General features: G+C 38.4%; 3 annotated features.

The window, feature by feature from the left end:
* Positions 13,064 to 13,829: an enhancer, noted in NCBI's record as "H3K27ac hESC enhancer chr5:165499573-165500338 (GRCh37/hg19 assembly coordinates)". NCBI's record gives its function as "activates a minimal SCP1, AML or CMV promoter by ChIP-STARR-seq in primed H9 embryonic stem cells {active_cell/tissue: H9 hESC(primed)}" and the evidence as "EXISTENCE:reporter gene assay evidence [ECO:0000049][PMID:30033119]".
* Positions 13,830 to 14,595: an enhancer, noted in NCBI's record as "NANOG-H3K27ac hESC enhancer chr5:165500339-165501104 (GRCh37/hg19 assembly coordinates)". NCBI's record gives its function as "activates a minimal SCP1, AML or CMV promoter by ChIP-STARR-seq in primed H9 embryonic stem cells {active_cell/tissue: H9 hESC(primed)}" and the evidence as "EXISTENCE:reporter gene assay evidence [ECO:0000049][PMID:30033119]".
* Positions 14,596 to 15,361: an enhancer, noted in NCBI's record as "OCT4-NANOG-H3K27ac-H3K4me1 hESC enhancer chr5:165501105-165501870 (GRCh37/hg19 assembly coordinates)". NCBI's record gives its function as "activates a minimal SCP1, AML or CMV promoter by ChIP-STARR-seq in naive H9 embryonic stem cells {active_cell/tissue: H9 hESC(naive)}" and the evidence as "EXISTENCE:reporter gene assay evidence [ECO:0000049][PMID:30033119]".

The following is a 26,700-nucleotide window of genomic DNA, read 5'->3' on the forward strand; positions in this document are numbered from 1 at the left end:
TCAGGCTCAAGTCACCCTCCCACCTCAGTCTCCCAAGTAGCTGGGACCACAGGTCCATGCCATCATGCCCAGCTAATTTAAAAAAAATTTTTTTTAGAGACAGGCTCTCCCTATGTTGCCCAGGTTGGTCTTGAACTCCTGAGCTCAAGCATCTTCCCACCTTGGCTTCTCAAAGTGCTGGGATTACAGACATGAGCCACGCACTTGGCCTGATTAACCTTTTTTAATAAGTCTTGTTGCTTTGCACATTGCTTTTTCTAGTGTGGATTTCAATTCTTATAAAGATTCACAGTGGCAATGTCAACCATGACATTGTTTTGTGATTATTATTATTACGTTAAACAGAGAGTACTAACTATTCTAAGTATCTCTTTCCTCCATAACTCAGAGCCATCATTATGAAGGCCATCATTATATTCTACCATATTATAGTAATGCCTTCACAGACTTTTGAGATCCTCTGTCCTTTCCCTAAGTCATAGGTTGCAGTACTAGTTCTATCTTTCTCAAGTCCCATCACTGCTGTCTTCTAATCGGCTACAGTATTTTACATACAACTGCCTGAACTACTGCTCTTCCTTCTTCCTTTAGAGTAAAACTCAGGGCCTCTGTGACAGATATTTGCTACTCACCAACAGTTTTTATCTATTTTATTTTTTTGACCATGCCCTGGAATGGATTTGTCAAATCTTTGTAGATGTGGTCAATTTTGGAGATGTCCACTCTGGAAAAAAAAAAAAAAAAAAAAAAATTAAAGAGCCACACTAAACAAGAAACATCAGAGGTTCTGAAGAATGACTCACAGGAGCTTTGTCCTAATTTTGAAAACTCAAGTTGATATAAAGTAAATTTTGCATCCACAAGGCTTCCTAGCATATTACCCTCCTAAATTGTGGCTATAGCAGTTAAACATCATTCTGAAGTAATTATATAATGCTGCGGTTTGAATGTTGGTCTCCTCCAAAATGGATGTTAAAATTTAATTGCTTTTGTAACAGTATTATATTAAGAGGTGAGACCATTAATTGTTGATTAGGCTGCGAGGGCTCCACCATCATGGCTGCAGTTGTAAAAGGGTGCGTTCAACCCCTTCTTACTCTCTCACCCTCTTGCCTTCCTCCATGTGATGATGCAGCAAGAATGCCCCTGCTGGATGCTGGCATCTTGAAGTTGAACTTTCCAGCCTTTAGAACTGTGAGCCAATACAGTTCTGTTTATTTTAAGTGGGCTATTCTCAGATATGTTGTTATAATAGCCCAAAACAGACTAAGACATGCACTAATCTAAAAGCTTAACAATGTAATATGTTATGGATATTTATGATATGAAACTTTTCATTTAATGATCTCAAAGCAGAATAAAAGTAATTTCAGATTTATGTATTTATTTCTCTATTCACCTAGCTCGAGTGTCCAAATTTCTAAAGAACACTGAATAATTTTATTGAACAAAGTGGGTTCATACTTAACGGTATTGTCACATGTCACACACACACAGATCTATATTTTAGAGTGGGGTTCCACTTTTATTTTCCTTAAAGGGCCAAATGATAAATATTTTTGTCTTTGCAAGACATATGTTCTCTGTTATAACTATTCAACTGTGACATTATAGCCATAGATAATAAATTGTCTAAAACTTCATTTATGGACTTTGAAATTTGAATGTTATAATATTTATGTGTTATGAAATACTCTTCCTTTGACTTTTCTCAATCATTTAAGAGTATTTAAGTTTTTCTTAGCTCACAGGCTATATAAAAACAGGCTATGATCTCGATTTGGCTCAGGGACCAGTTTGTCACTCCTGCTACAGAGAGCTTTAACAGCAGTAGAAATGGCATGCTAAACTCTCAAGGTTTTGAGACATCTGCACATGACATCAAGTTTCCAGTGAAAGTTTTGGTCTTTGATTATTTCTAAATATATTGGTAATTTAAAAAGAGAAAATCTAAGAATATTTTACAGAGTTTTTGCTTGTTTTTCTTTTGAGTATTGTTTAGACCAGAGCACCTGAAACTTTAATGTGCCTGGGAATTACCTAGGTATCCTGCTAAAAGGAAAACTCTGATTTGGGTAGGTCAGGTGTGGGGCCTGAGACTCTGCATTTCCAACAAGCTCCCAGGTGGTACCAGTGTTGCTGGTCCTTTGAAAACTCTTTGAGTAGTAAGGGCATAGAACACAGTAGAGAAAGCCCAATTTGACTTAATAAGGGATAATAAGAAGTCTATGCTGGTGACTTTCAATGAATAAAATGTGATGCTTTTGAATGAAATTGCACAGCCCTTGAAAAATAAAAGCCAAAAGGTATGAAAAAATAGTGATAGCACATTAAAATGATATAAAAGCCTTCACCAAATAAAACGAGTTGTACTGAAAGCCTAGAATACTTAACTTATTAAGCAGCCAGTATCCTGGCTACTACCAAAAATACAGCTTTTCATCCAGACCACATTCATTCAAACTCTTCAAGTATTTTTCATCTTTTAGGTAGATTATTTAACACGTTCCAAGGCATTGAGGAATTCAGTAAATACTATAAAGTATAAGACCTATTAAAACTTGATATATATTGTGTAGGCTTACATGTTGCATTTACTGTGTGCATACATAAATATGAAAGTATGCATGATGTTTAAAATGCATTTGGTCTGAGGATTTTTAATGTCAAGTTTCAATCCCATGCAAATGAAAAGGGCTGAATACATAAACCTGTCAAAATCATGATTTTAATGGAAATGTCAAGATACTTCTGAAAGCCAATATAATAATCCCTTTTATGCAGCACTAGGAAGAAGCCTATGATCCTAGAAGAACTAACCTGTCACCCTGCACTATCTGTTTCATCCTATTACCATCCTCGGCTCCATTATCTAAATGACCAAGCACTCCTTCAATTCTAGGGCTAAATGATGTCATGACATAACTATCATCATATTTATACCTCATAAAATTAGAAAGGTTATTAAACATAATTTGACCTTTGGCATACTCTAACAGAATCTTGATTTTTGCTGTTTTCTTTCTTTCCTCCTTTTCCCCTCCTTCATTCACTCAAATCTCTCATTTCAGTTCTTTATACTCTCTTTTCTTTTTTCCTTTAAAATAAACTGTTTTCCACTTATACTGACATCATGTTGCACGACCAGATGTAGGATTTCAGAAAATAAAATTTTTATTACAGTGCTTTCTAATTATTCTTTAAAGCTACCATTCAGGAGAGAGATGTTGCTTCCATTCAAACCTAAATTCAATGCCAAGTACATTTGCCCTTGAAAATTTTCTAAAGCACTGGGTGATGTGGGGTCTGAGGTGTCTCATGGTTTTGCTGTTACTATTGTCTTTAACTAGCTTGTACTGCAGTAGAGAAGGCAATTAGCTGTGTTTATCTTTGTTGGTACACTCTGATCAAAACAGTCAAGGAACAGATGCTTCCAGGTGGACAAAGGTCAGGCATTGGGTATGTTGGACAACTGAAAAGGAAAGAGTATTTGTCAGAACCTTTATAGACTCCTGAGCTGTAAAACAACTTTTCCTTTAGCATTCTGAGGTATTTTCAATAGATTAAACAGAAATCATTATGTTTTGTAAATGCTTCAAAATAAGGTCAATGAGCTTCCTTCTTTGTATTGCTTCTTGTCTATGTACACGCTGACAAAGAAGCAATAAGCTTCGTGTGTGTGTGTGTGTGTGTGTGTGTATGTATGTATGAATGTATGTATGTATGTGTGTATGTATACTTTCTTTGCGTTTCAGTGTTAATTTATTTTATTCTAAATGTATATGACTCTATAATATATGAAGGAAGTTATCTGTTTCAAAGCCTCCTCAACACAGAATCTCAGCTTTTAGGCTCCTCCAGCACATTTGTTAGTTTTTAGCATTCTCCAAGCTTCCTGTGAAAGTCCCCGATGACAGTGGCTTCCCACTGCAGAGACATTTTCACAATTAATTTCCATTCAAGAAAGAAGTCTCTTACACTCAACTCACAGCTTCCTGTTTTCAGTTTGATTTATTATGTCATTTATTTACACTCAGTAGCTATTTATTGAATACCTACTACATGATGAAAAAACACAGTTTCTGCTCTCAAGGAATTTGTAGTCTGCTAGGGATATGGGCAAGAAAATGGATAATAAAAATATGATGTGATAGGCTATCCTTTAAATCTATGAATCAATCAATATATATTCACGAAATATAAACCAGGGACTGTCATCAAGCCTTTATTAGACATAGATGTGGCTGTGGATATAAATATAGACACACATAGAGTTATTGGCCCCAAAGAGTTTGGAAACCAGTAGGAGGAAAAATAATAATATAAAGATATAATATAATAAAATAATATAAAAATATATCTTGTTACAAGATATTATATATATAACAACTGTTATACATTCTTATTAGAGGCAGAAAGTTCATAGGAAATTAATCCTTCTCTAGTAAGAACAGTTTTCTTACCTAGTGTTCAATATTGGTAATAATTCTTTATTTGTTCCATATTTTCTTGATCACAGAATGAATAATTTATCTCCGTATGCAACTTATTTTAAGAACTGACCACAGAAGTCACTTTGTTTCTTTGCTCTTTCCTGATCTTTTTTCTTTAATTCACCTCATTTTTTGTAAGATGATTGTATTAGTCTGTTCAGGATGCCATAATCAAATGCCAAAACAGGATAGGCTGGGTGGCTTAAACAACAAATATCTATTTTCTCATGGTTATGAAGGGACGAAAAGTTCCAGCTCAAGTTGTCAGCCCATTTGGTTCCTGGTGAGGGCCCTCTCCCTGGCTGCCTTCTCATTGTATCCTGACTTGGCCACCCCGATTGTGTGCACACAGAGAGGGAGAGACAGAACACGTGTATGTTCTGTCATGTCTCTTTTTATACAGACACTATTCCTATTGGATCAGGGCCCCACTCTTCTGACCTCTTTTTAATCTTAATTACTCCCTTAGAGGCGGCATCTCCAAATACAGCCACAATTGGGTTTCAGGTTTCAATGTATCAATTTTGGGGCAAGGAAGGTGAAGACAAAAATAGTGAATTAGAAGTATCAATATGATTAGTTAACTATCTGGTGTAATATTACAGTTTCAATAATTGAACTTCCCAGAAACAAGAGAAAATGTCATCTTCCAGTTTTGTGTTTCAATTACATGGTAGGCCTGTTGCTGACAATTAACACATTTTCTGGTAGATAAAATACTGATTATCAAAAACAAAGCATACACCATGGAGGAAAGTCTGAAGAATATGAATCTCAGAGTCAATAAATATCACAGATATGTGTTCTATCACTTTAACAATTAGGAAAAACTAAGCAATTTATTTTCTGTACTGGCAGAAATGGAAATACATATTTTTACAAATGTATGCTTACTAAATATACTGTAGTTTGCCTCATTCTACATAATTTGTATAAAGTATGTTCTTCTTAAAGTTCAAACTTGGATTAATGTCTGATGTGTGAGGTTATCCAATTCATATTCAGTCATTTCACAGCTGTGTGGTTCTAATCAAATAAAAAAATGATCTTGCCTAGGCGAAGAAAATGGCTCTCATGTACAGAAGAACCAGAAACACACTTCATATCATGATGGTAGTATTTCTTTTTCTGTTTTTGGTCATAGCCTCTATTTGGACTTTAGCCATCACACGTACACACACACATACACGCACACATTGCCACAAAGGCTGATTTCTTATTGTACTCTTATTTTATAGCTAATCTTAATATGCTGAGGAAGCAACAACAAAAACAGAGTCAGTATGTTCTTTCTTCTATAAAGACCTACTGAGTAGGTCTTAAGCCAACTCAGTTTTTCTGCCTCCTTTCTTTCTACTTTGTAATTTGCCCAATATACTTTTCCTAAATTAGTCATAACACTGCTTTTTATCACATTATCCCCCTCCTCTACAACCTTCCATGGTTCCCCATTACCTTGAGATAAACTGCAAATGCATATCTTTTACATACTGTCAACAGCAGAGCTTTTCTAGCTGTACTTTCCTACTGCCATATATAAGCCCCCCTGAGATCTTATTGGTATCCTTATTATCTCCTAAACTTTATACATATGTTTTCATTTATATGCAGGCTATGTGCAAGATTTCCTCCAAGTAACACACTTCTCAGCAACCAGTGTTTCTCTAAGGGGCAATATTGGCATTTGCGGCAGAACAGTTTTTCCCTTTGTAGAATTTTTCTACAACTTTACAGAACATTAAGAATCCCTGATCCTTTCCTGTGTCATGCTAGTAAAACCCTCATATTGTACTAACAACAAAAAATGCCTCCAAAGTTTTCCAAAGATGCTTCTGTGTGTAATAGAAATTCCCAATCCATGTGGCTTAAGCAATTAAGTGATTGTACTGGTCAGTGGAATTGAAAAATTCAGAGAAAGGCTTATGACTTCAGGTACATATGAACATAAGATCTAAAATATTTGTTCTCTATCCATGTGTTCTGTTTCCTAGTATATTTCGAAACAGACGCTCCTCTTAGGTTGGCTTCCAGTAGTATCAGACTTACATCCTCAAAACTCTCTTCCCAGCAAAGAAGAACGTGTCTCTTCCCAATCTTTCAGATGAAAGTTCCCTTTGGATTCTGAATTTTCTTGACTGGGGTCATGATCCTTTACAAAGGTTTTACTATGTCCAGAGAAAAAATACACTTGTTTGGACATCCCTCAAGCCTAGAGTGGAGTATGGACTCACATTTTTGAAAGAGATGGTTTACCATGGAAATCTAGTGTTATACACACCATGGAGGAAATTCTGAAGAATATGAATCTCAAAGTCAATAGTGTTATATACTATATTTCCTTGATAAAGGAATATATACCAGAAGAAAGAAGAATGAATGCTGGGTAGCTACATAACAACAAGAAGTGACCTATACAAATACTTGTTGCTTAATCTTAGGCAAAGAATTTCAATTCTCAGCCTCTTCTCCAAATCTATAAAATCTAAATAAGGACCACTACCTTGTAGGTAGATAGTAAGAGACTCAATATAGGAAGTAGCTGACATGATACCTAAAACATCTGTGCTTAAAACCTGTCTTATTCCTTTTGAATTCCCCCTTTAAGGTGCTAGTCAGGGCAGTTTTTAAAATAAATAACAACTAGTAGGCATGACAACCACCCATTCAGAAGAATTCCCTGAAGCTTCAAAATGGAACTCTTCCAGTACGTATCATTGTATACGGTGGCTGACCAGCCTTGTTCCTAGTAAAGCCCTCAGGATTGCATTTGTCTGAATTCATCTCTCTCCATTCATCTAAACCACGGTGGAACTCCTAGTGATTTCTGTCCAAAACCTTTTATCACCGAACATGACTTTTTATCATCCCTATTCCTCTGCATTTTGATTTTTACCATTTTGAATACATTATACTTGTATTTATTCTGTAAAACTTATTCTTAATAATTCAGTTTTTGTTTTAAATAATGAAAGACACATGCCAATTTGAGCTGTATGAACGCCTAGTTCACATAGTTTCTGCCTAGAGCAATGACATGCACCTAAGTTAGCCTGCACACATTATAGCTCATAAGCCAGAAAGGCATTCAGAGAACCTGGCCAAAAATTGTGGACTGTGTGGGGCTCCATACACTAAACTCATCCATTCCTAAATGTTCCATAGGCTTCTGTGCACATGGAATAAAGTTGAAAATTATGATCTTTGGAGTCAGATTCCCAGCTTTTCAATAATGAACTGTGTGACTTTGGACAAAGTTTTTTTGTTTGTTTGTTTTTAACATCACTAATCCTCGGGGGTATTTGCCTATAAAATAAAAATAAACATTCCTAGTTTCCAGGGAAAATGTGAGAATTAGAAATCCACCTATCAAACTTTATGACACAGTAAGCCATTCGGAGGTGATGGTTTTTGTGACATCTCTGCGACGTTTGTTGTTTAACAATTACTTACATGTCATTCTTTTTAGTTCCGTTTGTTGGAAAACTTTTTGTGTTCTTGAGTTCTTATTCCCTGTTTTGCCTATTAAAGTGGTTCATAAGCATTAAGGTAAGACTGAATAAATGAATGAATAAGTTTTTCATGTAGACCTTTGAAAATGAGAATGGAAACAATTTAGAGAATCATACATGAGACCCCTAAGACTGTGGGAAATTTTTGTACTTAAGCAAAAGGTTTTTGCTCTACAAGAAAGATTCAAATTTTCATCAGAATTTCAAAAAATAAGTTATGTCTAATTTTCAAACATTTTGATAATTTCAGACAAAACTTCTGAAACTTTTTGTTAAGGCCTGTTTAAAGCTAAGTCTTCATAATAGATTCCAATATGTCAGAGACAGGTTTGAAATGTTTACTATTTCAATTCCACATTTTCAACTTTAAAACAAGGCAGTTGGAGTAGATAATCTTTCTGGATTCAATTTTTTATAGATTCTATGATCCATTGCAAAGATTTTGCAAGTACTTTTCAAAGTATTTCCAAATACCCATGCTCAGTAGAAAACAGAACATTCTCAAAATATAAAGATTGGTACAACTTTTTAATCACCCAGCGACAGACAAGGGCTACTACTGTCTGGAGCTCATTTTCTATTGTAATAAAGGGAGGCAAAAAAAATACCATGATATGAGGAATATAAAAACAGAGTAATGTGAGAAAGAGTGAGTGACCATGACCAAATTTGTTGAGTGGCCAAGGAAAGTCTTTCTGAGAAGGAGAAATTTGAGCTATGCCAGCAAGGAGGAAAAGGGTCCAGGTATGCAACCTATTAATGGTGAGAAGGAACATTGCAAGATAAGGACCGTCAAATGCCAAACTCTGGAGGCTGGCTGGGCTTGGCATCTCAGAGCCAGAGAGCCAGAAGACCAGAGTATGACATGGCCATGGACAGTGGTGGGAAAATAACTTGGATGAGGTACACAACAGTTAAATCACAGAGTGCTGAAAGGGTTTGGATTTTAGATTTTCTTCTAAGTGTTGAAGAGTGATAGTATCAGATTTAGCTTATTAAATCCTGATGTGTAAGAAAATCACATTCCTAAAAGCTAGAATTTTTTTAAATGATGAAGTCCTGATTTAAATAAAAAGAAACTGCGGTTAAAGCATGATTTTGCATTAAACATCTCATCCAAGTATCTACTGCTATTTTATTCACACACCCTAGTCAGTACTCAAGGAATAGGTTATAACTTCGTTTAAATGAGTCAGTTCTTGGCTGACATAGCTATTGCCAGCATGTTCATGCGTTCTAGTTGTTTTTTAAACTGCGTTTTACACCAAGGGAAATTGCACACAGTAAATGTCAAGGATTCACTAGGGGCACTACAGTTTCTGAGGCATGAAGCTAATACATATTTGTCTCATTACTGTCAGCAGATCAACTTTATTCTGTGAAAGGCAAGGGTTCATAGCTCATAGGAGATGTAGTTACAAACGACCTTTGAGAGGTCGTGGGGAGCACAGCTTCTAAAATTTACAGTAGTGTCATGTTATTAATAAGAAACTAGAGAAATAATGTTTAGAGACTTTTTGCTACTTAACTTTTTCATAGAAACAGGTAGGGGGATCACATTTTTCAGCTCTGATTCATCAAACCTTAAATTGAAGATGACATAGAGCGTTTGCGTGGGCAGCCTAATCCACTCCTGTGGTTTCCATATTGCCCAACAGTTTTCCTGAGGTAAACATGTTTTGCAGGATCATCAGGCAATTAATGGTCTTTTGCTTGAATAGTTTCAAAGACAGAGGGAAAGAAAATCCTGATTTCATGGTAGGGCAATTATGCACTATGGAGATCAGATTATTTTTTGCCTCCCGTCTATGTAAGTATATTCTTCATATTTTTAGCCAAGTATCATAATTATTAGAAATAGATTATTTTAGTTTATTATTGTGTTTTCATTTTATTTGAAATTATAAGTCTCAAAATATTTCCTCCCAAGGGATTTAAGTGGTGAAAAGCATCTATAGGTAACATTTATTTTTTGTTAGAATATATTCACAATCCCAGAACTTAATATATTATAGTACTCAATGAATAATCATTGGTGATGTGTAGGTGACATTAATAGTGTGGGAGATATCAACTGTTTATGTTCAGTTTTATACTATCTAAATGCAGTGATGAGGGTTTTTCCCTCTTTTCCATGGGCTCCCCAGGCCATGTCTCTACTACCTATATCATGGAGCTCACAGGCACGGGTAATGCCAGCTTTGCCAGTGTTCATGGTGTAAATATTCCACCATGACTGATTACAGGCTACTTATGTTTAACAAGTGGCTTGCAAGATTTCTGAATATTTTACAATCATAATGCAGACAAAAGGGCTAAGAAAGAATTGGCAAAATTACTCCCCAAGAAGATCCTAGGGAACAGTGGAGATGGCTATGGAGGGGAGTGCTCCCAGAGGATGAGCAAAGGGAAGGGCAACAGGCATGCCCCTGGGCACAGGCAAAATGGGAGTGGTGTTTTGAATGGCAAAGGACTCACTCTGATCATTGATAGGTTTCTCTATAGTTCCCTATTGGTGACTGTGGAGGGAGTCCCATTCAAACAGAGACCAGCCCATCTCTCAAAGCCAACTCACTGTGGTCTCTCCCAGGCTAGGTGGCTGTAATGACCTCTCTCTCCTCATGCCCTGCTCTGTCTTCCTGCATCACAACTCTTTTTTTTTTTTTTTTTTTTTTTTTTTAAGACAGGGTCTCACTCTGTCACCCAGGCTGGATGCAGTGGCGTGATCTCGGCTCACTGCAACCTCCAACTCCTTGGCTCAAGGGATCCTCCTACCTCAGCCCTACAAGTAGCTGGAAGTACAGGTGTGAGCCACCATGCCTGGGTAATTTTTGTATTTTTTGTAGAGACAGAGTTTCACCATGTTGCCCAGGCTGGTCTCAAACTCCTGAGCTCAAGCAATCTACCAGTTTTGGCCTCCCAAAGTGTTAGGATTACATGCGTGAGCTATGTGCCAGGCTCTGTATCACAACTCTGTAGTCAGTCATTGTTTACAGTTCAAGTTTTTCCCTTGTTCTTTCAGAATGGACCCCCATCTACCCTCACCTCCTCCAACCTGCCAAATGATACCCACAAGCTTGCAGATTAAAATTGTTGTTTTGTCACACCTGTGTTTTCCTTAATAGAGACTTCAAAGATCCACTTTTGAAATCTAAAACCTCATTATTCACCATTGAATTTTTCAGATTTTGAAAAATCGTGTGCAGAGTGGAGGAGAGAGGGTTGGGACTCTGGCAAAGTGATTCTAGATGGCCGTTTTAAGTTAATAAATAAAGTTGTTTCTCTATGGAATAATTCTAGAACCCAAAATGACAGCAGTTCTGTCATTTTCAAAAGATGGCTTCCTGGATAAACCTAAGGTATTTTCATGCAGTCAGCAGGAAGTCTGAGAGCTTATGAAGGCATCCTCAGGGGAAGTTTCAGGGGCCAAGAAAACACTTGTGACAGACCAACTATTTTGCAAGCATGTGGGTATTATTTGGCAGGTCGGAGGAGGTGAGAGTAGTTAGGAGTTTATTCTGAAAGAACAAGGCAAAAACTTCAACTATAAACAATGATTGACTAAAGAATTGTGATGCAGGAAGACGGAGCGGGGCATGCGTTAATTAATGTTAATATTAATTAACATATCTCACATTAAGTTACATTCCACTGGGAAGAAATCAGTCCTACAGCCACCCCTAACTGCAACGGAGACTGAGAGATGTAGTATAACTTGAGTCTAGGTCCAACTATTAAGACAGAAAGAGAAAACAGACAGACAGTAGACAGCAATAGCTCTACCATTGGGCAGTGGGGAGGCTGGATGGAAAATGAGGTGAAATCTACTTAAATTTGCTAACCTAGTGTTTTTCAAACTTAGTTCATCATGGAAGCTCCTTTAGAAGGCACCTATTAAAATATTGTGTAAAAATGCTAACCTAGGGCAAAAATCCCACTCTATGATCATGCCCTTAATCTAGTTGCAATTTCTGTTAAAAACGTATGTGATAAGGTGAAACCCATGTTCCAGGGTTAAAATCCCTGCACTTGTAGATTTCTACAAATGAGTGCTGCTTTCACTCCTCTAGGTTGGACAGGTTTTGCTTCAAGTTGTTGGAGGGCTTCACCTGCGTCAGGAATCACTCCCTTCCTTATTTATATCCAGAGCTTTCATACACCATAGATAGATACTTTTTTCTTACTATCCGCCAAAAATAACAGCACTGAAAAAAATGACAGAACACGTTTTATGAAGGCATAATATAACCCACTGCTGGGAACATGTCACTCGAGGCAAAAGCAGTTAGATCTGCCGGCTGGATGCTTTTCTGATGTTTCTCCTTAAATAACTTCATTATTCAATGAGAAGCGTTTTAATTACTTAAGTGACATAAAAGATGAGGTTGTACTATTTATATCTAGATTGTGTTTACCGATTTTAAGTCTTTTTGTCTATTTATATTGGAGTTGTAAGCACTTACTAAACCCCATCTGGCAGGAAATCGCTCTACATTTAGAGAAACAAAAGGTTTCTGTGCCCTCCAAGTTTTTGTGTTTTCCCAACAGGGTTCCTGTGATAACTCTTTTGTTGTCCATTGTGGACCCGGCTTTATTAAGAGAAATTTACCCCTTTCCTTTGCAAAAGCTTTTACTTTTGTTACTAATGCTCATACCTAGTGCAATGATATTTACTGATAATGGATTTTCTCCCACCAATGTAATGTATTATGGTTAGGGATCACTTTCATCACAATAACAAAAATAACAGTAATTAATCAATGACATTATCATCACTGCTATTTATTTAGTGTGCATTTTTTATTAGGCACTAAAGAGGTTCATTTACATAGTTTCACACAAACCCCGAAGCAGAAATTATAAGCTTCGTGTTACAGATTTGGAAACTGAGAAAATTCAATGGTATTAAAACAACAGAAACAACAATAGAAACAAATGTTGACGTGCTTTTGAACATCAGAGCCAAGATCCTAACAGAGGTCTGATTAACTTTAAGTCATGTGCTTTCTTTTTTGTTTATTTCTTGCATTTTCTAATGCAGAGTAGACAGATTTGAAAACACATCCAGGCCTTACTTTCCTCCCTGTTACCATCTATATGTAAATGTTTTGACTCTTGTATTTGTATATTGATCCAAGACTATGAAATTATGAAGCCTTCCTTGAATGCAAATCAGAGATTTGTATAAGGGTTGGAAAACAGCACAGAGGAGAAAAAAAGAATGAGAATGCTCATCATAGCCTCAGTGATAGAACTGGAAGAGATCAGTGGCTTCACAGCCCCTGAACAGCTCTCAGCAAGCAAGTGGGTTTCACAGGCAGCACCTCAGGGCTCCATGTAGCAGCCTGCATTCCCTGGAGCTGTGAGAAGCAAAACTCATGCAACTGGTTGCAGACATGTTTACAAGTCACTGGTGGGCCAAAGATGTGGCCAGAATTGGTCTCAAGACACAGAGAAATCAATAAAAGAAGAAAAAGAAAGGATAACAAAGTAAGAACCAAACTGATGGGCCAAAGATGTGGCCAGAATTGGTCTCAAGAAACAGAGAAATGAATAAAAGAAGAAAAAGAAAGGGTAACAAAGTAAGAACTAAACTAAGAAAGCTACATTAAAAATATAATTAGAATCTGGGCCACGCGTGGTGGCTCACGCCTGTAATTTCCAGCACTTTGGGAAGCCGAGGCAGGTGGATTACCTGAGGTTAGAAGTTCAAGACAAGCCTGGCCAACATGGCGAAACCCCGTCTCTACTAAAAATGCAAAATTAGCTGGGCGTGGTGGTGCATGCCTGTAATCCAAGCTACTTGGGAAGCTGAGGCAGAAGAATTGCTTGAACCCGGGAGGCGGAGGTTGCAGTGAGCCAAGATCGCACAACAGCACTCCAGCCTGGGTGACAGAGCAAGACTCTGTATCAAAAGAAAAAAATTAAAAAAAAAAAAAACATACACACACACACATATATGTGTGCATGTGTTTAATTATATATCTATATATAAAATATATATGTAATTAAAATCTGTATGCATCAACCAACATAGACACATGCATAGACAATGGATTGAAAGAAAACAGAAAAACAGGAAAGAGGGGAGGAAGGAGAAAGAGGATTAAATAGGATAGTATGGGTGGGATGGGACCGATGTACTGCCAGGGTTTTCTGTCGTTTATTATATATACATATGAAAATGAGCTTAGTTCCCATTTTACACATACCAGTTATCATTCTTTTATTGCAAGTAGGAAAAAGCGAGTAATGGATCATGTAAAAAAAAAAATAGAGGTGATAAGGGAAGGCTGTAGGGTGGCTTAGTAGCTCAGCAAAACCGATGAAACAACTCAAGAACTACAGTTCATAGCAGAGTTGGAGTGAAAAGAGCTCCTGGACTCTGGCATGCAGACGCTAATGAATAGTGTCTTTAAGCTGCTGACACTGGGATGAATTCACTTCAACATTTTCTGTCCTGAGCCATTCGATTAAAGATGCACTTACCCTTGAGAGTTTCACAGGTCCAGCTCAGCCCCGATCGTTTGTCCACCACTTGGCGGGGGAATAGAGAGGGGAGGCACATTGATTGGCAGTTCCCACAAAGCTATGGAGAGTAGGGAGGGGTAGTTCCTTAAAAAAAAAAAAAAAAAAAAAAAAAAGATTCTAGGCAGGTACTCCCAACCCAGATCTACCATACTGCATGGCTGTGCCCAGTCCAAAGATCTCCTCCCCAGTTTTCCAGTGATTCCTGAGATGTGGGATAGCCAAGAGAAATTGCACCAGGCATTTCTTTAAAACAGCAGGGAAGATTATTCAAGACTATTGCAATAGGGGAGATTGAACTCAATGCCATTTGAAACAAAAAGTGGAAGAGTTTTTAAATGCTGGGGTGAGCTAATGGAAAAGTATTGGAGGAGATTAGGCAGGAGGCTAGTCGATGTGATTAGGCCTTCTGTGTTTGCTAATTGAAATGTATTGAAGTTAGGCTCCTACTCTCCCACAGAGAATAGGAGATGGTTCTGCCTTTCTTGATGTTTACATTTCAAAGGGAGAGATCCCAGGTCTTCAGAAAGACAATCCTGGGTTGTACACCTGGTAAGAGTCTGAAAGAAGATTTACATCTCAAAAGGGGAGAGAAAGAATTTTCAACTGAAAGTTGTTTTCTGAAGTAAATTATCTAAGAAAAGGGAGGTCAGAGCCCTGGAGTCAGAAAGAAACCTATGTAAAACTTAGTTAAGCTGAAAGAAACGTTAAGACCTTTTGGGTCATATGTTCTTTTCTTTTCTTTTCTTTTCCTCTTTTCTTTTCCTTTCTTTCCCTTCCCCTCCCCTCCCCTCCCCTCTCCTCTTCTCTTCTTTGCTTTTCTTTTTCTTTCTATTATAGAGGCGGGCGTCTGGCTATATTCCCCAGGCTGTCCCGGGTTCAAGCAATCCTCCCACCTTAGCCTCCCAGTGTGCTGGAATTACAGGTGTGAGCCACCACACCCAGCCACATTCTCTTGATGATAACTTATCACTGTAGCTTCCAACTGCTGCTCCTGAACTTCCCCAGTTGTTTTACTTTCCCTGCAGGCTGTTGTTGCTCATTTTGGTTTTCTTCTCTCAGAACAGGAAGGAAGCCTCCTGTTTACTGTTCTCCAGAGCAGCAATCACACACAATGCTGGGCTATGTAAGCCTCATGGGAGACTTGCAGATAAAGGCAGGGAATTACAGCATACAGTAGACAGTAACTTACATTTGTAAGTTGGAAGTCTGTGCTTTTGAAGTTACACACTCATGTCACACTAATAGTGTGAGGGAACATCTCACACCATTAGGATGACTCAGCACCCACCCAGTAAAGATCGCCTTTACTCTCTAGCTTCTTTGAATCTCAAGCCACTCCCATCTCCCAACATCCTCCTTCTCAAGCCTCCTGGGGAAAGTGGAAAATTCACATTACATTATTATGCAAAGCAAATTGCCCTTTCTGTGTTTCAACCTCTCCTATTCCAGCTAAATCTTAGGATTTACCCATGCATATTCAAATAAGATGTTTTTCTACACAAAAGAGTCTTCCATCCTAGTTTCCACATTTAAAGGAGGAGGGAAAGTTTCAAATTTATATTTATTGTACATGCTTCAGGTCAAATTCTTATGATGGAATCAACATCAGAGTATTTGTGTTTTTATCTAAGCATGTAAAAGGGGAAGGAGGCTGAGAAAAGGCAATAGAAATGTTATTTTCCTCCTCCATGGAGGGCTTATTTATTTATTATTTATTTATTTATTCGTACTCTGAAAGGGGGAGGAGGGAAGAAGGAAGGATGGGAGAGAAAGACAGAGGCAGAGAGAGATAGAGAAACTCTTCAAACAAATTGCCAGTGAAATCAAACCATTACCAGTGAGATCATAACCACAGTGATAATGAGATTTTTAAAATATTTATTTCTACTCACCTCTGTATTTTTTAATTGTATACTTACTGTTTGCATCTTTGAAAAGAAACAGAAGTGAAATCAAGACAGAAAGCAAGGCCGGGCTTGGTGGCTCACGCCTGTAATCCCAATATTTTGGTGGCTCACGCCTGTAATCCCAATACTTTGGGAAGCCGAGGTGGGTGAATCGCTTAAGGTCAGGAGTTCGAGACCAGCCTGGCCAATGTGGTGAAACCCCGTCTCTATGAAAATAGAAAAATTAGCCGGGTATGGTGGTGCACGCCTGTAATCCTAGCTCCTCAGGAGGGTGAGGCAGGAGAATCACATGAACCTGGGAGGCAGAGTTTGCAGTGAGCTGAGATCACACCACTGCACTCCAGCCTGGGCAACAGAGCCAGACTTCATCTCAAAAAAAAAAAAAAAAAAAAAAAAAAAGACAGAATGCAAGGATAGAAATAAGGTGCTTAAAAAATAATAATGTCCTTGATATATAGATACACAGACATACAGATAGATTAATAGATAGAATTGATAATCAGTCACTTGCTGACATCCAGATCATAGAATATCTGGACGTTAAATAGTCTGGGAAGACCTGACTGAGCAAATGACTAAATAAAGGCCTAAAAAGATATATATTTAAAAATGATAAGTATGTGAGGTGATGGATTTATAAATTAATTAATCATTCCACAATATAAACATGTATCAAACCATGACATCGTACCCCATAAATATATACAATTATTTCTCAAAAACAAAATTTTAATTTTTTAAAATTTAATTTCAAAATAATAATTTAAAGAAAAAGTATCTAGAGATTACTAAACAGCCTATTTCTGGAGATTTTTAGACATTACTAAACAACATTTCTACCATTACAAAGAGGAAAAGGTTTAGGAAAGAAGGAAAAAAAAAAAAGCTTAAACCACAGCAAATTTCTTAATAAAGATCATAGCTGAGATATAGCTATACTAGACCTTACTGGTTGTACTACAGCCAACATCAGAGGGTTCAAAATATTGTACCATGGGCTCTATCTGGTCTGTTGGGATGTTTAATTTACTATGCAGCCAATGAAAAATTATACTTTTAATGAGTAATAAACATTTATAAAATAAAGACTTAGATTGTTTTCTTTTTTTTTTTTAAATTGGAAAATATGACAACAGGCTTTTATTTCTATACAGTAATAACCAGCTAAATAACATTCCTCCTAACATAGATAGGGCAGGACGTTCACTTACCCAGATCCATTTGGCAGGTGGCAGAGTTGTAATCTGGCATTGATGCCTCTGAGCGAGGCAGATGTTCAAAGGAAAATTCTCTTTTATTCTTTTCCCTGGGGAGATGTGGTACCACTGTCCCTGGAAACACCCCACTGGAGATCTCTAATCGTGTGCTGTTGGCTCAGTCATTATCCTCTATTTGGCTTCTTACAACTTTCCCTATGCCACTGACTTTTAGTGCCCGCGTTGAGGTCGCTTTGCCCTCCCAGCGCTTTCCTTGGGCAGAATCTCTTTTAAGACAGTAAAATTAGCTCCCTTACTCAGAGTCCACATCTGTCCTTTCTTCTACCATTGGTAGAACGACAGTCTACTTTAACCATAGCCCCTTCTTCTGGTACCTATTGTTGCTGGCTTTTGGGCTCTTATAAGACACCCCTAAACAATAGAAAAGGTCATGTTTAGCTTCCTCTTGTTTGATAGAGTTTAGGTATCTCTTACGGTAAATCTAGTCATTCCTTGTGCTGTATTTATCGTAGCCCATACATTGTTACTTGATCAAAGGACTTCTACTTGGTTCCACCTCAGCTCTCTAGCTCCTAGCCCATGGATCCACTGTTCTCTTACTCTTCTGGTAGTTGCCTCAGAGTACACTCGCTCTAAGAGTTACCAAGAGAGGAATTATGTTTGTGTCTCCTGCCAGAAGAGTCCGGCAGGAACTTGGTAATGGATGAACAGAGACCCGAATGTGACTCGTTTAAGAATGCAGGAGGCAAAGAGAGAGGGCTTGTTTGCAGAAATGATGATCTGTGCCTGGTTAACCACCTAACCCAGTTGTGCTCCTACCTAGCGATGCTCCACTTCTCTTTTGAGTAAGAAGTTGAGTTGAGCTGGTAGAGAAAAATGTGCCATAGCAAATTGACCATGAATAAAACAAATTTACAAGTTTTTCCTGGGTGTCCGATTGTCTAAAAATCCGCCAGGGAATTGAATTGCCTGTCAGCTGCCCAAATTATTTTACATGCTGCTATTGAAATTCTTGGTGTGGTAGGTTTTTTAAAAGGAAAATAGGAAATGAGCTGGAAATGATTGATCGAAGTTGAAAATAACAGTATACAGTTACTTCTTCCACACAACAAGAACACCATTCATTGCATTTTCTCATCTGCTCAAAGAAGAGAGAATCAAAACAGAAGACCCATTTTAAATGGTGCACCTATTTTACCTGAGGTTTATTAATTTTTCTCTTGGTGTGTCATTGAGAGTTAAGGATTACAATAACTCTAGTATCTGACAATATTGCTCTGTTATTTAAATTCATTGAGTGAAATCAATCCATCAATGAACTATGAATTCATATAAAGGAAAATAACACAGAAGGCACAATTGTTCTAATACGTTCTAAATCTGAGTTAGAATATTCAAATTCTACCAACAAGGTTTTTTGTTCTGTTTTTGATGGTCCCATTACCTCTTTTTATTACCCGGCCCTCCCCTGAGGATGCTACTTACCCTAGTGGGTTGCACTCTCCCTGCCTGCATTTTCCTGTACTACACATGAGACAGGTGCCCTTCTTGTTCTCAATACTCAATTCAGATTATCCTTCTTTACATTTCCCTAAAAATTCCAGCTTTGAAATTCAAGCTATCAGATTACATCATCAGTATTCCTTATAGTTACTGTCAACCACTGGACCCCAGGTCATTTCTTCTCATTTTAAGATGATTTTACCACAGGATTTACTGTCATTCTCTCCAACACTACTCCAGTTTTTATTCTTGGTGGCAGATGTTCCTTCTAACAACTTAGATCCTCATTTTTTAAATTCATCTTCTCTGAAGATTTTTTTATCTCCACCTCACCTCAGGAACTCACTCCCAAGGTCAGACCTTGAGAGAATGTTCTAATCATACATAATCAATACCAATAACTGCAACCCTTCAATATCAATTATATGCACCATTTCTGCCTTCAATATTTCTGACTCCCTCTAGGACTCAGCCTCCTTTAATGACATTCACATCCCCAGTCAATTGATCTTATCAAGTTTTTACTGTAGCTCTTCATTTATTATCCTTACTGTTTTCCCTACATATATTAATTCTGTGGTCAGTTATTATAAATACCTCCTTACTAATATTTTGACTTTCACTTTTCTTTATTATACTCAATTGGTAAAACCACAACCCTACAAAAGCTGTCTGCCTGTTCTACACCGGTACCTGTGAAGCTTGAATGCAATAGAGAAGAACACACAACCAGTCTGCCTGGTCTCATTGTAGTTTCATGAACAAAAACCTCAACTGAGGCTCTAATGGTACCAAGCAGTCATACTTTAATTTTCTAGTCTAAATATTTTTCCATTTTCCTAGTTAATGATTTCATAGCTTCTCCTCTCTTGAATCCTCCAACATTCCTTCTTTAGACTTGTCCCCAGCTGATGATACTACTTCTTACCTCACTGAGAAAATTCAATCCACTGGAAGGAAATCTCTACGTACTCCCTGCACCTCATATACTCACCTACTAGCATTTGCGCCCTGTTATTCTGGCTTGTTGTCTATTCCTATAGCATTATCTAAAGCCAGCCCCTGTCTTGCATGTTATATCCTACTACTTTTTGGATTCTTAAGGACATCCTTGCACAATTCTCTTGATGTTCCTACTACTAGATCATTCTCATCAACCCACAAGTGGTATTATTTCTCATACATTAAAACAATGGAATATTTTCTTGATATCACAGTTTTGTTATACCTCTGGTTCTTTGCTTCTCATTTGCAACAAAACTCTTTGTAATGTTGCTCCTACCCACATTCTCCAATCCTCTCCTCACATTCTTTCTTAAACTCACTCCAGTAAGACTTTCGCCACACCACTCCACCAACATTGCACTTGTCAAGGTTAACATAAGTCTTCCTTTCTGAATTTCTCTCCATTCTTTGTGATCTCATCCAGTGTGATGACTAAAACCACACTCCTTTGGGTTTTTCTACCTTTACGAATCATTCTCTCTCTCCTTTGCTAGTCTCTCATTATCTCTTCATTCCCTTGAAATTGAAGTGAGTCATGACCATCTTCTTTTCTATATTTAGCATTCATCCTTCATGATCCCATCCAGTTTAAAGACTTTAAATACCATCAGTAGATGACAATTTCCAAATGTATTTCTCCAACACAGACATTGCTCTTGAACCTCAGACTCATATAACCAGCTGCCCACTGGACATCCGCATTTGAGTGTGTCAGGTACAATGCAGTGTCCACACTCCCCAAACTGAACTTCAGATCTCCCTGAACTCCTCCTCTCCTGCTTTCCCTATTCTCTGACTCCTCTTTTACTCAAATACTCATATCCAATTCTTCAGGAAACCTTCCTGCCTCTGCCTCCAAAATATATCTAGAATTCAATCATTTTTAATCACCTCCAGGGATACTACTCCAAGCCTAGCCACTACCCCCACCATCTTTAATCTAAATTATTGCAAAAGCCTCCTAGCTGGTCCCCTTGCATCTGTCTTTGTCTGCTGCCCTCACCCAAACTCTTTTCTGAGAAAATGCATTGAAATTTCAGTCTGATTATGTGTCATTTCTCTGCTTAACACCCTGCCATGGTTTCCCACTTTGTTTAAATGCCTCCATTCCTAGAATAGCCTTAATGCTCCTTCACTTTCTTTCCTTTTTTTTTTTTTTTCTTTTTTTTTCTTTTTCTGAGACAGAGTCTCGCTCTGTCGTCCAGGCTGGAGTGAGTGGCACGATCTTGACTCACTGCAAGCTCTGCCCCCCAGGTTTATGCTATTCTCCTGCCTCAGCCTCCCAAGTAGCTGGGACTACAGGCGCTCGCCACTATGCCCGGCTAGTTTTTTGTATGCTTAGTAGAGACGGGGTTTCACCATGTTAGCCAGGATGGTGCCGATCTCCTGACCTCATGATCCGCCTGCCTTGGCCTCCCAAAGTGCTGGGATCACAGGCGTGAGCCACCGTGCCTAGCTGGCGCCTTCACTTTCTGACCTCACCTTTCATGCACCCCAGCCCACCAACAATGGGGATTCTCCTTCCTCAGAGCTTGCCCCATGAATGTTCCCCACTCCCTGGAGGAGCCTCACTCCAATAGCTACATGGTAAATTCCCTCACGTATTTCAGATATTTCTGCAAATGTAACCTTCCTCATGACCACCTGTCTTCACCACCCTGTTTGCTTCATCTGACCAACTTATCTCCATTTATTTCTATAGTTTATTACCTATTTTTTAAATAATGTTTATTACCTTTAAAGTACCAAGTACTTTACCTGTTTATTATTTATCTACTATTTTTTGTCCTAGAATATAAATTCCTCAGTGTCAGATCTCTTCATCTGGTTTGTTCACTGATGTATCTTAAAGGGTCTAAGAAATCAACTGACAAATAGCAAGAGAACAATAAATATTTGTGTAATCTTTAAATAAACCCTCTCTTAGTGCTGGGACTCTGCATTGTGACATGTATCTTTTGTTTCATTTTTTTGTATTACAAACACTAAGGTATTTATATTGTCCATTCAGTAAATTGGCTAGCATTTATTTTTCTCAGTATGGCTATTTTTTACTTCTTTATATACTAGTTTATGTTTTCTGTGGTTATGACCCCTTAAGTTCCCCTTGTTTTCTCTCTCTCTCTCTCTCTCTTTTTTTGAGATGGAGTTTTGCTCTTGTTGCCCAAGCTGGAGTGCAATGGCGTGATCTCAATTCACTGCAACCTCAGCCTCCCAGGTTCAAGCAATTCTCCTGCCTCAGCCTCCCCAGTAGCTGGGATTACAGGCATGAGCCACCACGCCCAGCTAATTTTGTATTTTTTTGTAGAGACGAGGTTTCACCATGTTGGTCAAGCTGGTCTCGAACTCCTGACCTCAGGTGATCCACTTGCTTTCTCCTCCCAAACTGCTGGGATTACAGGTGTGAGCTTCCACGCCCGGCAAGACTCTTACCTTTCATCCAAGTTACTTTGTTTTGAAATTTTACTAGGGTTCACGGCTAATTTGACCCATTTTATAGATGATGCAGATAGAAGGGGCCTTTGAGAAAATATACTCTACTTTATTCACAGCTGAGACACTTATGGCACAGAGAAGTGAACAGTATTTTATTTAATAAGAAAACTGAGCTCCAATTCTCCTGGTTTTGTTCTCCTTTCATTATAAACTGAGATGGCAAATACATGGCTCATTCCATCTTCCCTCTTCCATAAGACTGACACTGCTTAAACAGTGCTGCAATCTTTTACAGACAGACTGGAGGAAATGAGACTTGGAAATAGGGACCAGAGCACAAATTCAGTCTTTCGAACATAGGAGCAGCTCAGACAATGAACTCAGGTCTACATTTCCTGGTAGCATTTCAGAGAAAGGGCAAGGGCCTGAGTTGGTATTGGAGGACAGTGGTGAAACATAGTGACCTATTTGATAACACCTAATTGCTTCCCAGGTCATATTTGAAGAGCTTTAGTTAGAGAATGCCGGTTGTATTATGCCATCATGCAGCACAGTTTCCTAGGCTACTGTTAGACGGATAGTTATTTCCCTTAAACTATCAATTATTGAGTCCTTTCTATGTGTCAGATACTATTTTATTCAATCCTTTCAATACTTTTGTATTAGGTACTACTATGATCCTCATTTCACAAATGAGAAAAAGGACATCAAATGATTCAGTGATTTGCCAATTTCTACAGGTCTAATAAGGGTGAGCTAGCGTAAATTGAACAAAAACCCGCAAGTAACAGTGCCCTTCCGCCACATTTAAGAAGGGGTTGAGATTAAGGCTGCTTAAATATTTCTAGCTTTAAGTTTCCGTTGATTTCAGAATTGGGACAGGGTCAATCTTATAGCTAGGAGAATATGAACACATCTATGAGAGAAAGCTAGAGTAATCAGGGTTAGAAATAAGATAGGATGCTAATTAAAAAAAAGAAAATGACTAACAAATTTCTTCTAAATGGTTTTGAATGTTTAAGATTATTTGACAGACTATAGGATGACACAAACGACATTAAAATTAACATTTTTTTCACAAACACCTTTGGGGTCAATTATTTCACCAATAGAGGCAATTCTCCATTTTGCCAGTAAATAAATAAATTTTGGAACCTCTGAGAACTTTGGGTGGGGTAGGGGGTGGCGACATGTGTCTTCTAAAATCATTGCCTTTTGTCACAGAGGGGCCTATCTAATAAGAAGTAGTGTTCCACCAAAAAAAGGCAGTTGGTTGCACATCAAACTGCATGTGGAATGATAGGGATCGCTGAAAATTTGCTAGCCTGGCAGTGAATTAGTTTTTCTGTGTCCTCAGGGATAGATTGCCCTGTGAGAATTTGAACCTATCAGTTAGCTGTCAAATTTCATTTGACACCTCATCCAAAATTTAAAAGGGGCTGCCAACTGATGTCGAGGATGTTCTTGGAGGAAGGGAAAGGGCTATTTCTTTCTGGACTAGCAAGATCGAAGCTGCCAAGTGCTTCTACTAAGGGCAGCAAGCGGGCAGCCATTCGCTGAGTAAACGTCACAGATATTATGGCTTCCTAATGTAAGCAATTCTTTCTCAGCCCCTAAACTCATTTTTTTCTCTCTCTTTTAGGCAGAGGGCGCCCAGAGGCATGAAATCCCTAAGGGGATATTTAGCAGAACTCGCAGAACTGCCACTGGAGTGTCAGCCGACAGAGGTTACACCTTGTAACTCCCTGGTTTTTTAACTGCAGTTGAGTTTTTTATTCTCTTCTTGTCTTCTTCTGTGCATTTTTTTTTCACTTTACCCCGAATATTTTGCATGCCTGCCCCCTTTTTCAAAATGTAAGGTTTTCATTTATTCGGTTATAAATGAAGGAAGTTGATGGTAAAGTTGTTCCTGCACATCCTGCAGAAGTGTTTCTCAGGGGAAATGTTCTCTCCCTTCAGTTGGACCCCTGAAGTTGATGTTTTCTCCAGCACCCCCATGCCCCACTCTCACCCCAGTCTGGCTAACTGCTTTAAATGGCTTATTTGAGTGAGAGCTTCAACAATTTGGAAACTGCCCTGAGACAAGGACCCGTGATGGATTCATGATTGACCTCTTGATTATCCGCGGCCATTTGAGGAAGATTAAAAGGGCATGGCAGGAGAGGTACATTAGCTGCAATCAATCTGCTGCTCCCTTCTTCCTTTCTCCTTCACACAGACTGATTCATCAAAGGACATTTGCAATGCCTCATTTCAGAGATTCTGGCTTCAAAGCCAGGCTTTATTTTACAAAGAGAAAAATACTAAAGTCTCTTGCTAGATCCCTTCAGGGCCAAAGAAAAAAAAGAATCATCCTCTAATTGTCACTTCTATGCTGGCTCTGGAAAAAAAAAAAAAGATAAGTACATATGTAAGGGAAGTCATTTTTCATTTGAAAAGTGTAAAGGAAAAACTAGTCCCTTTTGTTTTATCCCACCATAATTTCTTTGTCAGTTTCTCTGGGCTAGTCATTGGTAGGAAATCTACATGCCTAGAAAACTACAGAGGGCATATAAAGATTTTAATTTAAACATTAGCTTCTCAGGTAAATGAAGCTAGGTTCCTGCCTTTGCAATCTAGTTCACACAGGGCCAATTTTATTCTTGTTCCATTATTTCATCGAGCTTCTGTGATCACCAGTCTCCCTTTGAAGTTGGTTGGAACTCTGAGCACAGATAGATTCCCTGGGTCTTGGAGTAAAATGAGTAGTAGATCTGTAACCTCACAGTTCCAAAGGCTTGCTTGTGCTCTTGCTCGCTCTCTCTCTCTCTCTCCCTCTCCCCTTGAGGTCCTCCTCCATGCTCTGGAAATGGCTAAAATTTGTATGACTTCTGAAATGAGATCTGTCACACTAACTTGCTAAATGTAGGAATTTTAGTGAACAAACAACTTGTGTGCAAAACAAAAATTACCATAAAGTTTGATTTTGTTTCAGGTTATCTTTTTTAGATAGGTTAAACAATCCAGAAAATATAAAACCAGAATGACCATATGCAATCACATCACATGTGACTTTTAAGGATGATATTGGATAAGAGGTCACACAAGCTAGATTTTCATGCCAGAGATAATCATTCAATCCATCTGGTTGTTTGTACCCCTTTAGTCCTATCTCTGGCTTGGGGAGCAGTGCCACAGCTGATGTGGTCAGAAGCTACCACAGGGACCTTGGCCTCCCCATCCCCACATAAACTTGAGGGTCACAAACCCATTATGTGTTCTTATGATAGGAAAAAAGAAAGGTGTGGTCCACAATGTGGTAAAAAATAAAAACAAAACAACAACAACAACAAACCCTGATCAGTGGATCTAGAATAGGGTGATTCATTGTTCCAGTTTGCCCAGATCTGAGGGGTTTCCTGGGATGTGGGCCTTTCCATGTGCCTTTCTCTATAAAACTGGCCATAAGGAAATTATCTGACCTACATTGTTTGACTGCAGGTCATGAGACCCCCCCTACCCCATTCCAGAGAGGGTCTTGCCTCACACCCAGAAAGAAGGAATGCTGCACAGAGGGGCCTAGAAGAATCTAACTAGAGAGAAGAATCTAACTAGAGAGAAGAATCTAAGCAGACAGAAGAATCTAACCAGACAGGCCTTGATGTGTTTCCCCACCCAGTTCATTAGCATTGGATCATGCCCTTTTCGTCCAATTATATTTCTACATGGGTATCCAAATGAGTGTCCATCCTTTGTTGAATCTAAGCATCAAAAGGGGCATCTCCCTCTGTATCTTTGAGTCTTCATTCTGAAGGCTTCTGTGTTAGGTAAAACTATGATCAAATAAATTTGTGTGTCTTTTCTCCTATTAATCTGCCTTTTGTCAGCTACTTTCAGCAAACCTTCAGAGGGCAAAGGAGAGTTTTCCAACGGCCCCTACATCTTGAAAAGTAACGTGTGGGAACAAAGGGTCCATATGTGTACCAGACAACAACAATCATCTGGAGTTGTCGTGCACCGACCCATAGAACATGGAAACAGTATGCCTCCTACTCACTTACATTAACTGCCTAGGTCCTGCAGGCATTTGAATAGGCAGCTCCTGAACTAGATCAGAGAT

Source organism: Homo sapiens, chromosome 5 (assembly GCF_000001405.40).
Source record: "Homo sapiens chromosome 5, GRCh38.p14 Primary Assembly".
Classification (NCBI taxonomy): Eukaryota; Metazoa; Chordata; class Mammalia; order Primates; family Hominidae; genus Homo; species Homo sapiens.